Source organism: Homo sapiens, chromosome 5 (genome assembly GCF_000001405.40).
Source record: "Homo sapiens chromosome 5, GRCh38.p14 Primary Assembly".
NCBI classification, from domain to species: Eukaryota; Metazoa; Chordata; class Mammalia; order Primates; family Hominidae; genus Homo; species Homo sapiens.
In genome coordinates, this window is record NC_000005.10 from 95,078,164 (window position 1) to 95,094,437 (window position 16,274).

The 16,274-nt window shown below is 36.2% G+C and overlaps 1 protein-coding gene across 55 annotated transcripts in view, besides 1 other annotated feature; it reads right to left on the minus strand.

The window, feature by feature from the left end:
- The window catches only part of MCTP1 (multiple C2 and transmembrane domain containing 1), a 581,405-nt gene that overhangs the window by 374,474 nt on the left and 190,657 nt on the right, over window positions 1–16,274 (minus strand). For 36 of the 55 annotated variants that reach the window (NM_001393551.1, NM_001393545.1, XM_047417738.1 and 33 more), the window contains exon 1: window positions 3,263–3,482. The exons of the other annotated variants lie outside the window; for them this stretch is intronic. In NM_001393551.1, the coding sequence (NP_001380480.1) occupies window positions 3,263–3,319 (57 nt within the window). In that variant the 5' untranslated portion in view covers window positions 3,320–3,482. Of the gene's footprint in view, window positions 1–3,262; window positions 3,483–16,274 lie in introns of those variants that run through there. 55 annotated transcript variants of the gene reach the window in all.
- Window positions 9,866–9,915: an enhancer, noted in NCBI's record as "active region_22797". NCBI's record gives its function as "activates an Ori minimal core promoter by ATAC-STARR-seq in GM12878 lymphoblastoid cells {active_cell/tissue: GM12878}" and the evidence as "EXISTENCE:reporter gene assay evidence [ECO:0000049][PMID:35858748]".

Here is a 16,274-nt window from a genome sequence, read left to right on the forward strand (position 1 = left end):
CCTAGTTGTATAACAGACCTAAACTTCTCCATTCTACAATTCGTTCAATGTGCTCCTTCCCAAATGATGACTTTCACCAGGAAATGTTTAGGGAATGAACAGAAAAAAGGCAGACATTACATTAATCTTCTATCAAAACACAAAATTCCCTAAAGCTTTCCTGGGACTGTATCAGATAACTAAATATAGACTGAAAATTGTTTCTGCCCCACCTGCACATCAAAAACAACAACAAAAAAGGGAAATCTTGTTGTATCACCAAAGACTATGATCACCTAGGAGAGCTCTCAGTTATGTATGCTCATTCCAGACATATTTTGCGTTAATAAAAGCCCCCATCTTATGTAAATTCACGAACAACTTCAGCATATTTCTGGTTCATAAAGGCCTGGGTTTCACTAAGAATAAGAATGTTGCAGTCATTAAAATGATTAAATGTAGTAACATTAAAAAGACGTATTTTCCTCTCTGTAGTACTTTATAGCAGTCATTTCAAATTACTAAGACCAAAGGATTCTAACAGAAGGTGGCACAGAATGTAATTAAGCATCTTGGTTCTGCAGCCTACCTAGGTTCAATTCTGGTCATTCTACTACTAATTGTGTGATGTCAGGAATAACTCATTTAATTTCCTTGTACTTCAGTGTCTCCATCATAAAAAGGAAATAATAATAATAATAATAGAACCCATACCTAATAAAGTTGCTGTAAGAAAAACAGATAGTTCATAAATAGTTATTATACAGTCTGATTTAAATGCTAGGCATTATTATTATTTTCATCTTGGAGAGAAATCCCTGTAGAGTGAGATTTGGAACTTGATTTGTTATATTTCAGTATGCTGTAAATTGCCGCGAATAAATACTACTAATCCTATCCCACTAGTGAAATGACTCAAGCAAAGGGAGACTAAATGACTAATTTGAGTATCTCAACTAAATTAAGATGGAATTAAAACCCAACAAACCATCTCCATAGCTTTCCTACTTGGGTTTATCTCAGGGGGGATAAGCATTACAAATCTCAGCACTTATAACAACAGACTCTCCTGGTGAGTTCAAAATGCTTCATCTACCTTAATGTTCACAGGATCACTAACATATACTAAGCACCTATGGGAAGTATGGGACTGTCATCTAGCATTACAGTGTTTCCAAACTCTGTAGATAGAAAAACAAAATCAAAAGAAGACAAGGGCTTCATTGTCACCTCCAAAACTAGAGGTTTTCTCTGATATTACAAAGAAGTGTTGATTCTTCCCACTGCACTCCTATAGCCCAGGGTTTTGTCACATAGACCACATGCTATCTCACTGCATTTATATTTAGCAAAAATTTTAAAAGATATATGCCTATTAATTCCATCTGTTTACCTTCATCTCTTAATGGTCATATAGCTGATTTGTATAGTTCTTGGAATCAAAGCAAACATGAACTTTATTACAAAGCAGAGCTAGGATTTATTCATAAGATAGCATGATGATAAATTCCACTTATCTCTTGAAACTATACATTGCAGCACAGGATATGAAGATAGCATACACTTTTCATATTTAATAAAAAATATTTTATATTTTTTATTAAAATAAATGGTGATCATGTTTTGAATTTTTAGAAGGAATAACTTTTATTAATATCACCAGCACAAGAAAACTTTTAATTAATTGTCTTCTAAATCTTAAGAGTTAAGAGGTTTTAAAGCGAAGTTTTGTTTTCAAATCTATCATGTTCACTGGTATAGTAGGACATAAGTCATTAACTCCTCTAATTGTGAAAAGTCATCTTTTTTCTCTTCTCATAGCCTAAAAAAGAGTACAGTTATATAAATATAAAATAGCAGATCAATTCTAACAGAAAGGGTTGGAAGTTCATTGGTTGTTTACATTTTTCTTTTCTCTTTTTCAAAGATAAGCTTTGGAGGAATCTCTTTTTGCTAACCACTTTCAACAAATACAGTGTATCAAAACAATCTACCACACCACCTCCAATTTTGAAAGATACAAAATCTACCCCTGTCCTTTAGGCATGTGTACTTTTATGGCTCACTTCCCAGAGTAAGGATTTGGACATTTGTGCTGTGGCAATGGCTAAGAAATTGCAAAAGTCAGATGTTACATTTTGATAATCATTCCACAAATCCATGCTCCATCAAACTAGACCAAAAAACCTGCAAAGGAAGCAGTATTCTCCAATTTGGAATACAGTATTCTCCAATTTAAAATACTGCCTTCAAATATGTTTGGAAGTTGAAATAATGAAACAATCTCCAAGCATGATAGTAAGTCAATTAAGAAGTACGAAAGTATTCATAATGCCAACCGTTAGCAGACACATTTTTGAAAACCTCAAGTCGTTAATATCTTACTAATTCAGTTATAGCTCTCGAAATCAAATTAACCTTTTCTAGCTGAAAGGAATTTAAAGGCCTTAAATATGAGTATGCAAAGTTCTGTGGATACCCAATACCACTTTAAACACTGATTTGATGTTATTGCTTCAACCAATATGAAGCCAAGACAACATTCCTGTGTCACCCAACCTTTGAATTAGCTTTAAGCAAGCTTAAAGAATTTGAAAAATAAACCTCTCATTCATTCTCTATCCACAGGTTTCTCTAGCCATGCAATTTGTATGACTGCCTCCAACAGCAAGTGAGAAAGTAGGCAGTGATAAACAAACTCATACAATTTTAAAACAAACAGAATAATCAGAAGTTTCTAAGTATGCTAGTCTTTCACTTAAATAGAAAGCCAAATATGAAAGGTCCAGAGGCTTTCACTAATTTTCCACTTTAAATTTTCTAATAATTACTAAGACTACTTTTTATTTCAATTGAAAAATATAATGATTGAGCTATAATTATTCAAAGATAATCATATAAATCTGATATATGTTTCACCTTTAACTGAGATCAGAGGGTAGCAAAAGAAATATAAGAAACTAAGAACCTGGTAACTACTAAATCCTTCAAGAAAACAAAACAAAACAAAAAAAACAAACCAATATAAAGCTACCACAATGTTTCCATTTCTCAGGCACTATATTTTTCATAAAAAATGATCATAAAAGGAATATCAATGTATTACACTATGTATCTCACAAGTAGGTTATACTGTAAATTAAAAATTATCTGTATTAGAATCTCAAATGCAACCTTCAATACCCCGTGAGAAGGCATTTTTCTAAGGAACAATCATATACCTAAACTGCCACATTAATTTAAGGCTACCACAATCCAGTGAGTAAACCAAAATGTTACTTACCTTATTACAAATAAATGGCAAATTGCAGGCACTTTTCAGCTTGCAGCTGTCTAGCATAGTTGATTAGAAATGAACAAAACATCTTTCACTCCAGTGAGAGAACTGCATATTTAGACTTGCTTTCTTCACTGAATACCGGCAAAAGAGGCTGTTCACCTCCAAGTGATAGCAACAGCCCTGCACGGAGCACTTGCTGCTCTGCACAGCAGCGACTTGGAATGAAAGTAAGAAGAACCCGTGATGTTTAAATAACGTAGCTTTAGATTCACAGGATATGACTCAACTCTCAAACCAGTAAGGGAAGAGTTTCCCATTGCAAAACTGTTAGTACAGATTACATAACAAACATCATATCTGGGGTTCTAAAATACTCACATTAAATACTAAAAACTTCACCTGCTAAATCAAACATGCAGTGTTAGTAGTCAACCTCTTCCTCATGGCAAAAGCCACAACAGGAAATGAGAATAACAACACTGCACAAAGAAAACTATTCTGCTTGTTCTCTGCAGTGAATTAATTTAATGTTATTAAGGATGTGAGAACTTGCCAACATCTCCCAGAAAGACATCTAAAAAAAAAAGGAACACTAAAGTCACTAACATTCCCATCGGTATAAAAACAATGTGTAGAAAAAAATTCCATTTTAACATGCAAGAAGTGGCATGCTTTACAACACAATAGAATCTCCTTCACTAAGTAGAGAATGGAAATAGATCTTCGTGCTTTGCTGTTGCTGTTTCCCACAGAAATCCTTTCCTACGCTGTCATTACCTTGTGCTTCTAGCTCTGCCTACCTCACCAACTCAGGGTCCCCTTTTATCTGTTCTGTGAGCCCTTCTAAAGGAACATGACTAATGATACAACTCCTCTAGTAAATGTGGCAATTTTACATGCTTTCTCCACCACATGTTATCCCTTAACACTGAGCTGTATTAAGCTTGATCAAATATTGAATTATTATATTTAGATACCTCAGTCAATAAATATAGACATAGATGCTTGGAGAAAAGTCTACTACATAAATTCACTTGCCATCAGCCTCATCAAGGAAAAAAAGCTGAAAAAGCCCATGTTAATAACAGTAAGTAGGCTGAAACTAACTAGAACAGGGCTGTTAAATAGACATATAAGGTGAAGCATATATGTAATTTAAAATATTTTAGTAGTCACATTAAAAAAGTAAAGAAACATTAATTTTAGTAATGGTTACCCTAGTATGTCTAAAACATCATCATTTCAATATGTAATCATAATAAAATTATTAAATATTTTATCATTTTGGTACTAGTGTTGGAGATCTAGTGTATGTTTTGCACTTGTGTGACATTTCCACTTGAGCTAGCTATATGCAAGTGTTCAATAGCCACACATGGCTAGTGGCTACCATATTGAATAGCATAGGCCTAGGGTTCAAGGCTCATTTTCAGTCTTCAGGTGGTGGTTCAAATATTCTCTTTTCAGAACATTTAGGAAGGTCTTCCCTGACTACCTCCCCTGAAGTAACCTTCTCCAATTACTTTCTATCGGATGATCTTTTTTATTTCCTTTATAGTACATCACAGTTTGAAATGTTCTTCTTTATTCATTTGTTTACCTATTTATAGTCTGTGGTCTCTAACAAGAATGTAAGAAACCCGAGGGCAGGAATTTTCTTTCAGGAGGCTATTGACATGGTCATCAATACATAGCAGAATTTAATCAAAAAATTATTTAATAAATGAATAAAATATGGATTTTTTTGTTATGGTTTGGCAAATAATATAAAATTAAGAAATGTGTTTCTCATATCACTGAATTTCCAGCAAATACACTGGGCAACACTTTCTTGAATTGAGAAATTGTCCACTTTTTAGAATATTAATGATCTTCCATGTATAACATGTTTCATTCTCATATGCAATGCTATGAAACAACATACTTATTTCATTACTCTAGCAAATACTTAGAACACTTTAATCCCAGTGATGTAAATTTGGACACTATTAGGATGTCTATTTATCTCCTATTTACAAAAACATAAAATCAATGCATACTATGCACAGAGCTACAACGCAGGGGTCAAGGATGGGCATGTGACCCACGCTGGTCTAGTAAGCATGCCAACCTCTCCACTTTTGCTAACATTGAGAAAGAGGTTAAGTTTGTAGAATGTTAAGAGTAGAACTGTTGGTTGTTGTATCTGCTACCACATTGTCTAAAAGTGGTGGTCTAAAACTTGTCTAAAAGAGGTTGCCTAAAAATGAGGCTGATGAAGAGAAAAACAAAGCCAAATACGTGAAAGGCAGATTCCTGATAATACTACTGTAATTACCAGATACTGTTATGCATTAAGTCACATTTGCCCTCTACTGCAATGATGAATATACTGGAATGTTCACTGGAGAATTACAGTAGTCAAAACAGGAAACCATGTAAGGAACCATAAACGGTGGAAGCGTTAAATAAATAATGGGTTAATCATACTAAGGAATACTACCTAGTTATTTTCTTTTAAAGAATCAGGTTATCTAGATGCACTGAGATGCATAGCTCCCTAAAAGATGTTAAGCAGAAATAACATATTGCAGAAAAATATATTATCCCAGTTATGAGTATATACATTTTTTATATGCATATTCACAGAAAAGGGCCCAGAAAACTGCACACCAACTGTGGACACGTGGTTAGGTCTGGGAAAGGGATCTGAAGGAAGTGATGGGGGACAAAGAGAGATCAATGTTTTGCTCAGTTTATTACCTCCTGCATAAATCTTGTAAAATAAAAATGAATTAATGTATTCTTTAGGTAATTTGAAAAGAACATGTTACATTTAAAAAAAATTTTAATATTTTTTATTTCCATATTTTGGTACATTGTACTCACTCTAAGTGGACTACTCTCCTTTATTATTTTTTAAAACAATGTAATGGAAATGATGATGCTCTTTTCTGTCCCACTCTCCATTCTTTACCAGCCCCAATTTTTTAATGAATACTCCAGTTTTTCAGTCTGGTTAAAGTGAATGCCAAAGACAGAAAAGAGAAAAAGAAAGGGCAGAGAGAGACAGAGAGAGGAAGCTGCATTAGAATCTCCAATGTACCTTCTAAAACTGGCCAAGGTCTTTGGGTGTTTTTTTTTTTTTTCCTCTTGGCCTCCTGCAAGCAATTTTATTGGCTTTATAAAATACAGCTTGGATTTATTCAACTGCAAATATATCAACAGTCCAATGTTTATAATAATATGCTTTACATTAATTTAGTCTTGGATCAGAGTAAACAAACTTGTTTATTAACATCTCATTGAAACATTTCAGGCTTCTGAATTGGGCATAACAATTGCTTTCCTAATTAACTCAAAATCTAAACCTTTTGTTGCTTTTTTTGGCTTGCTCTAGTCTTCAAAATCTTCACATTATCTTAGGTATGCTCATCACATCTCCTGCTTTTGTATTCCCTTAGATTTCCACAGTTTCAACCCCTTTTTAAAAATGACACAGCTGAAGGTGCTTAGAGTCTGAAGCAAGAGTAAGGGCTGTTTGACTTTTAGTATGACTAATGAGGATCTGAATTTATACAGTGTTGACAAACTGATGTCTGTTTGGCTCTATTTTATTCTCTAAGCCCACTGATCCTAGTAACTTAAACCTCCTACTCTGTTGACACCCTCCTTCCATTCTCCTTGCCTCTATTTAAAATTATGCCAAATTTGATTCTGATTTTCTGGAAGAAGTAAACCATTATATTAATAGACACATCTGAAGCCTCCATATGTCTTTACCTATCCCATTACCTATCCCATCCCTTCTTCTCTCTCCAAAAGTAAACGCCCTCCTGAGTTGGCTTATATCATTACTGTATATCTTTTATAATACTTTTTATTAGATATGCACATATCCATAACAAGTACAACATATTATATAACATAATATCCATAAACAAGATATTAATTTGCATGCTTTAAGCTTTATACAAATATAATAGTGTATAGATCCTTTAAATTTTTTTTTTTTTGCTTAGCATTATCTTCTTAAGATTTACATGTGGTTCTGCTTAGTTTATTCATTTTAACTGCTGTACAGCATTGCAATTTATGTATCCACTCTCCTATTAATGGACATTTAAGTTGGTTCTAATTTATTGCTATTATCAAACTATTATAATTCTTGTACATGTGCATGTATTTGTTTAAAGATGAATACCTAGGAATGGAATCGTGGGGTCATACGATATGCACACCTTCACCTTTACTAGGTATTTCCAAACTGCATCCCAACAAAACTAGGCTAGTTTACAATTCAACCAACAGTGTATAAGAATTTTTGTCACACCAAACTCTTGTAAACGATCTCCAGAGATCCACGATGCTGAAATACCAAGAGTCTTGATCTTTTTGTTTTTTGTTTTTGATTGGTATGAAGTCTCAATGTTTTAATTTGGATTTCCCTGATTACTACCAAAGTTGAGTATTTTACCTTATTATTGGCCTTTTTTTCTATTGTGTTATTTGCCTTTTCCTGAGAAATATTTAGGAGGTCTTTATATATTATTGTTCTATTCCTTTGTCAATTATGAGAGTTATAGATATCACTCTTCTGTGTATTTTTTTACTATTGTTTATAATGTCCTTTGCTGTTTTTTATTTAATTTGTGGTTTAATTTAAAAATTTATTTTTTTCTGTTATTTACCTGTAATTGAGTCAAAAATATAAAAATTAAATGTTCTTTGGTCATTTTTCATGAAGCATTACCAACAATAATGTTAGATTGCATATCTAAAGGGGAACTGAGAAAAATTTCTATTTCTTCTGAGTAGTTCAATTAATCCTTACAGGGTATCGGCTATGTACCCCCGTACAGTATTAGAGGTTTCAAACATGAAGGAGACCATAGAGTCAATACATACACATTTACAGACTAATTGAAGAAAAATACTTGGAGGCAGACTGATGATGATGATGATGATGAAATGGAGAAGTAACCATGTGCCAGAGGTTGTGCTGAGGCATTATTTAATTTTACAGTAGTGTAATAAGATGGAGTAAATGTTAGTGTAAGAAATACATACAAAATCCTGTGGATAGAATATGTTATAACCTTGCATCCCAAAGATCATTCAAGATATAAAGTGGTCAAATTTGAGGTAGTATGAACCTGTGAGATATAGTAAGACCTTGAACTGACATTTCTATCTTCTCAAGTCAATCTATTTTCCCAAACCAATAACTCAGAGATTAACCTTCATTTATTTAGAATATTAATAAGAATTAAAGTGGGAACAAGTTATTCATTTGAAGAAAAAAATGCTTTTTTGGAAGACAAGTTCATTTTTTACAATCAATGATCCAATCACATAATGATATTTTCTCCATTTATTAGAGATGGTGAAAATTTAAAAAGCCTATAGTTCTTAGGAATCCTAACAAATGGTGCATATACCTTCCTATATCTGATTATTAATTTATAACATCAAAGTTAAAATAAACTCTTGTTCCTTAAAGAAACCTCATGGTAAGTACATTTGCAAACAATGCATCCAAATGTATCTCTTTTGTAAATACAGATGTTCACGTTTCTCTCACTGAAGGTTATATCTGTAGCTCTACAAAAAGTTCATAAAATGAGAGGGCTTAATATTCTTCAGCCAGGAGGACGAAAGGGCTCCTGATCTAGAAATAGAGAAGCGTGGCCAGCAGCGTCACACATTTCCTGAGGCAGATTAAGGGTATCCCACTTCCTTGAGGCTATGAGGTTTACACTTCAGCCTTCATATCACTGTAACCCTCTAGGACTTGCAAACCAAGATGTGTTTCCCCTGCTTAGGGGTGACAGTAAATTTGAAAATGAGAAAATAAGACTGCATCTAAGAATTAAACTTTGAAATAAATATATAGCAGGCCAGCACATAGATAGATAAAGGCAACTTCAATTGTCAGAAGGATGCAAACTCAAATGCCTGAAGGCACACACATTACCAGTAGGTAATGCTGATCAGCGTCTTGGACCTGGCAGAGACCACAGTGAACTGAATGAAGGCAGCACTCAAGCTTCCTTTAAAGGAGACAGTCTCTGCTCAGCTCCAGATGGTTGACCAGATGTGGGAAGGGGCTAGATCTCTGGATTTTTTCAAGAAAGGCTACAGCTCTGGGTTGTTACATGAATATTCCTGATGTTTAAATCTTAGCCTCTACACAATATGAGACAAACAAAAGCTTTTAAAGGCCAGAAGTGTCCCATGGACAGTCCGTCTCAGACCAGGAAGTAGGCAAAAAGCAGCCTTGGAAGTAAGCACAGGCAGTAGCCACTGAAACACTGGGGTAGGGTGCTAGAGGCTGGTGGCCTTCCCTTTTGTGGCTCTGCCTCTCTCATTTCATTATACCCATGGGTCTGAGAACAGCTTGCCCTTCTGATTCCATGCTCATCAAGCTGCTTTCTGACACAAATATGGGATCCTGTCTGGCATGTCTTTAGGGAGACCTTGCTTAAAACTTGAGGGAGTTGAGGAGCAACTCAGCAGCTAGGTCTCTCCTTATAAATTAATAAACTGACAGCCGGGTTAGCGATTTGCTCCCCATGTAGTCTGCCTACAGGAGCAAAATGCGCTGGGTGGGAAGATGAGCCGCCCATCTTCAGCTGTTTCACTTCTCATTCTAAATGGAAACATTGGCATTCTGATCTCACACATTAGTTGTAAGAGTTTCATTAATATGAGTCCAGTTCTGGAGGACAGATGTGCTCTGAAGCTGCTGACAAGTGTGGTTTCTGGGCCCACGGGGCTTTGGGCCAGACCACAGACAGTGGGAAAATCCCTAACACAAGGCCAACCTGCAAGGCCCGTTGGGATCTTAAGTAATTGATCTAACTTCTCACTTACTCTCACTCTAACCCCGTGGCCATTCATTTCAAAGCATCCTTACCCAGGTCTCTAGATGTCCAGAAATGACCTTGAAATATGAAGTTAAGAATTGAAGATACGCCTTAAGGAAAAGGGCAGAGAACTCACAGCAACTAAAAAATATGTTTGTAATCATTGGCACCATGGAGCAGCACTCTGCTCTGTGCTTGCCATAGACCATCCCACTTAATCCTCACAGAAACTCTGTGAAGCAGGTACTACTCGGAGCAATTATTCTATTTTACAAACTGATGCTTACGGAGGTGAAGTAATTTGACCATATGTACCCAGCTAACAAGTAGCGGAGTTGGGATTAGAACCTGCATCCTCAAACACTACGACTTGTTTTGTGTAAATGGTACTTTATTTCACTATTTTTACACCAAACATGCATTTTGCATTACTATTTGCTAGATACTGTTCTAACTACTTTACCAACATTAACTCATGTATTCCTCATAATAAGCCTGTGAAATAACACTACAATTTGCCCCATTCTGATAAGGAAACTGAGGCAAAGAAAGGTTAAGCAACTTGCCCAGGATTATACAACCAGGAGGGGACATAATCAGGATTCAAACTCCATCATTTGGGCTCCAGAGTACGCATTATCAGTCCCTGTGAAACTCCGCACAATGTTCCCAAGGAAGAGTTGATAAAGATTCCAATTTTAAATAATTTCAGTGCTATTGTAGGCACGATTTTTCAGGAGGATGGATGGCAACCCAAGGAAAAGAAATCATTTATGTCATATCATTCCTCTTTATTATATACCAATTAGAAAAACTGCAATTCTTCTGGATTTAAGAACTACAGAGCAAGTAACCACCATAAAATACTATAGGTCTGGAGATAGTTATTCTTAGGCGATACATCTGAGGAGGGTGACAAATTTTAGTTTGCATCTTTTTTTCCCCTCACTGTTGCAGGGGAAATGAAAGGAGACTTTTTTATTTCTGCATTTATAAATCCTAGGAGGTAAACATTGGAATACTTTTGAGAAATCTGAAATGAAGCACATATTCCAGAGTTTAATTTGAAAGTCATTTTCTCCTGGAAACAAAGCAAGTTTAATTTCAGAATCAAAATGCACTGAACATAAAGAAGTAGATGTGGATACCTCCTACTTTGAACCAAACTTTCAGTTAAACTTAAAATGGAACTTTTGGATCCATAAATTGTCAACTTTTATTAAGAATAATACTTTGGAATTGATTGGGTAAAAATAACACCTTATGACTCATATTTTAAATGTGAAGCGAAGTTTTCTATTTAAATAGTGAGGAAAGGCCTTCAGTGGTTTCTATACTACTTAAAGAATCCAGTGTAGACCCTTCCAGCCAGGGTCTAAAAAGTTAACTTAAACCTGAATCCAGAGGGTCTCTCTTTTTAAGTCCTTAATCTGCTGTTTTGTTCCCCTCCAGTTTAATGTAGTTCATGAACTCTTTCCAGAAACTGCCATCCTGAGAGATACAGCATGTTGCAGAACTAGCTCACAAACTGTCACCATGAAAAATAATACCTATAATACTTCCCTTCTTTCAGCCTCTCTTCTCCACAAACAGTCCAATCATTTTTGCTCAACACAATTTGTATAGTCTGGTTATCAAAATGTAGCTTAGTGCCCTAGTGATGTGACTTTCCTGGTCTCATTGTTGATTGAATTCTCGACACAGCCCCACACTCAGGCCTCTCCCCAGGGCCCCATCTGGTTCCATCTTCAGGTCTCTTCTCATTCTTTCTTGCTGCTCCTTTCATTCCTCTCCACATCATGAAACAATTTTAGGGATTGTTAAGCAAATGTCTGAGGCAATATTGCATGGCAGTTAAGAGAGCATGTTTTAAAATCGGACAACCTAGGCATAAATTATGTCTCTGTCAGTTACCTACTGTGTTTGTTATTACCATCAACATTGTATGTTTAATTTTGAATCACTTAACGTTGAGGTGAGAAATAAAGCATAGTTTTTAAAATTTGTAAATAAAAATTAGTTAGCTTTCTTTTTGGCCAATACTTCAATTAAAAAAAATTGGTGCTAATTCTGTCAGCAAATCAATTAGCTATTTCATTTTATGCACACTCTTGAATATCTGTGAGCTGATCCTTCTCAATCTTGTTTTCTTCTCCTGCCGCTTAAATGCTGCTGCTCCAGAGGAATCAGTCCTCGGTCCTTGGCTTTTTTTGCTAGAGAGAAGAGGTCCCAGACTTCACAAGGCAGAGCAGGTATGCAGTGCACAGATACACGTGGAGTTGTGCGGCACACAGGCAATCACATGACCATTAGAAGGGCACTGACGTTGCTCCTCTCTACTCATCGCTGCTACTTGGTATTGCAGGACCAGATTTTCTAATTTTCAAGACCATGTAAAATACTTAGTTTAAAAAATATTGCCATAATGCTTTGGCTGTCCAGATTCAACCTGAAAAACCCAACCTAGGATGACATCTGCTTTATATTCTCACAAAATAATCTTATCCAGGTCCATGACACTCATCACTATCCCTAGTCAGAGTGCTCCCACATCTCTGTCTTTAGCCCATATCTGAGCTCTCACCTGTATATATTAACAAAGTCATTGAGCCCTCTGCACAAGACACTGGGACACCAAAGATGACTGATATACTAGGTTGGTGCAAAAGTGATGGCAAAAAACGCAATTACTTTTGCACCAACCTAATACAAATGTAGCCCCTGCCCACAAGGGGTTTACAGTCTATCAATCAAATTACTTCGTAGACACCTCCATCTGGAGATGCTCCTGGTACCTCAAACTAACACTGCCATCCCATTCCACACCTTCCCCCCAACCCCAAACCTACTCACCCTGGTGTCTCCCTCCTTATTTCTACAGAAGGCTGTCACCCAAACCAGAGACAGAAAATTCATCCAGAAACCCTCTCTTACTGCTAAGAGCCAATTGTTCTCCGAGGCTTTCCCCTTCAATGCCCTGTCCACCTCTCATTCCCAGGCATGACTTTCCATCCTTTATAATACTTCTCTACTCATAATTCATTGCAGGAACTACTGCAATTACCCTTTGTGGCAATTTTTGAAACATATTTGAAATTTTTATGACATTCCTTTCCTCAAGAGGTGGGATCTATGTCTTCTCTCCCCTTGAAACTCAGATGACTTTTGTGACTGTTTTAACCAATAAAGTATGACAGAGGTGATGCCATGTGACTTCTGAGGCTAGAACATAAAAGGTTGTGCAGCTACCCCCTTGCTCAGTGGAACAGTCTCTCTTAAAGCCTTTAGATGCCCTGACTGCCTGGGGGCTGCCTTGCTGTGAGGAAGCCCAACTAGCCCTGAGACCACAAGAAGAGAGGGAGGAGTCTGGACAGTCCTGAGCTTTCACAGTTTGTCCCACAACTGTTTCAACTCTAACATCTATCTGACTGCAACGACATGAAGGACATTGACCAGAATCTTCCAAGCAAACCTTTCACACATTCCTGACTCACAAGATTTTGAATAAAATAAAATGGTAGTTTTAAGCTGCTAGGTTTCAGCTAATTTGTTACATAACAATAGTAGCCAGTACAGAAGTGGGGTTTACCATAACAGAAACCTGAAATATATGTCATTAAGACTGAGACAGGCAGTAAGTGGAGGCTGAAAGGCCCACAAGGAAAGTCTTATGAGAAGAAGTTGGTAGAAATTAGTTAAAGGCTTCAAGAAGCTGTCAGCAAAGGCTCAAAGGGAAGTGAGAAAAATGTTGCTGGAAGTTAAAGAAAGGGGTCTCTTATTATGTAGAAGCAGAACATTTCACAAAACTATCATTTCTGATAATGTGGAAATTAGAAATACACCTAATGAATTTGGTGATCTAGCTAAGGAGATATTCATGTGGTTTTATGGTTTTTTTTGTTGTTGTTGTTTTATTTTGTTTTGTTTAGCTGCCTATAATAAAATGCAAGAGGAAAGAGATGAGCTAAAGAAAAAACTGTTAAAATATAAATAAGTTAGAACTTGCTGGGTTAAAAAACAACAACTAAAAGAAACTGTTTCTTATTCTCAGCCTCTCTAAACAGCAAGTAATTCCCAACTTAAGAAAACACTTGGAGATATAGCCAGAGGTTAACAGATACCAAATCCAGCTAGATAGGAGGAATACGTTCTAGTATTCTGTAGTACTACGTTCTAGTATTCTGTAGTACTACAGGGTGACTAAAATTAGCAACAATTTATTGTATATTTGCAAATAGCTAGAATCATGGATTTTGAATGTTCCCAACACAAAGAAATGATGAATGTTTGAGGTGACGGATATGTTAATTGCCCTGATTTGATCATTACACATTGTATAGATGTATCAAAATATCACACTGTACTCCATAAACATATACAATTATTATGAGTCAATTAAAATTAATAATGAAAGAAAAAGAAAAAAAGAAAGAAAAAGAAAAGGTGAAAGAAAGAACACTGTGAATATACCATTTTCAAAAATAATAAATAAAAAGAAAGGCTTTAGGCCAAATAACAATCCAGGTTGAAATAATATCCTTTACTAAAGTTTCAGAAAAATCTAAGGCAGTGGCTCCTCAAATTTTTTTAGGCAGACAGTGGACCTCTAAGAATCTTAGGAGTATGCTTCACAAATTCTCTCCATAAAACTGGTCTTCCAGGTATCTTAAGGATGTTATCTTAAGACACCTCATAGGGAGCTGAAAGTAAAGAAGCACTTACCTTGAGAATATCTATGGTTTGGATTCATAGAAAACCCACAAACTATTTGAGATAATTGTTTTGCTATAAGAAACACCAATTTGGAGTAAAATAGATGGGAACACTACAAAATTAAAAGTGGGCTTTGGACACGTAGCATTCTATGGGCAGTAAAAAGTCTGATTAGGCTATTTAGTTGCAAAGGTCGTTGTTTGGTTATTGTTGTTGTTTTTTAATGGAAGACAAAGGCTGACTCAAAGGGCCAAACACTGAGAGTGGAACCAAGAGCTGAAAAAAGACAATTCCTAGCAGTAGGATTACACCCTAATGAAGAAACTGGCAACATGAACTTCCTGCATTTCATGACTGCTAAGGGCCAGTGATTGCTGTGTGCCTCCTGTTTTCCTCCTTTTAAGTGAGTGGGTCTACAGCAGTTTACCTTTGCCTGTTGTGCCACTGAAATTTAGGTATGTCGGGGGAGGGGGCAGATAACTTGTTTCTTCACTTCACAGTTCCTCAGATTAAGGAGCTGTACCCAAATTACTGCATTTGAGGAGTCTAAACTTCATTTGGACCTTAGATGATACTATGTTTCAAGCAGATGTTTAGATTTGAGGGTCTTGGGGGAGAGGATAAATATATTTTTCATGTAAGAAGAATTTGAGTTTAGCTGCATGGTAATTCACAAAAGATTGCATTTTTCCAAAGAAAGGGAGTCCTCAAAATCTCTTTTGTTCCACATGCTGTTCTCACAATGTGACATTCCTCCCATCAGCAGGTGAGGACTAAGTGCCTTCCCTCTGAATCTAGACAGGATTGTGACTATAGCAAAAGTGAGGCTATGTGATTTCTGAGACTAGGTCACAAAAGCTGGCACAGCATTTCTCTCATTCCCTTGAGGGCTTGCACTGAGAATCCAGCTGCCATACCACAAGGAAACCCAAGCAAGCTCATGGAGAGGTCTACGTGGAGAAAAATCTAGGCCCCCAGGCTACAGCCAAGCTGAGCTCCAGGCCAATGGCCAGCACCACTTTTCAGGTGTTTGAACAAATCTTGAGCATGGATCCTCAAGCCCCCAGTTGAGTGATGCTGTGCAGAGCAGAGATTAGCTGCCCTTGTCAAGCCCTGCCTGACGTGAAGATTGAGGTACAAAATAAATGACTGATGTGACTTAAGCCACTAAGCTTTGGATAATACGTTATGCAGCAATAGGTAACTGGAGTACCTTTTTAATGCTTTCCTTTCCTACTGTCTTCTATTTCTCCTCATTCCCTCTGAATTTTTTAGAAGATAAAACTGATCAGGTCATGTCCAAGATCTTTCTCTTTTTTTCCATTTGGATCTCTATCACTCAACTGTAAGCACCTTGAGGTCATGAATGATTTCTAAACATTTTAGTAGCATTAAAAATTTATTGAATAAATCAACTGCTAAATATTTTGTTCCTGGAACTGTAATAGGATCTA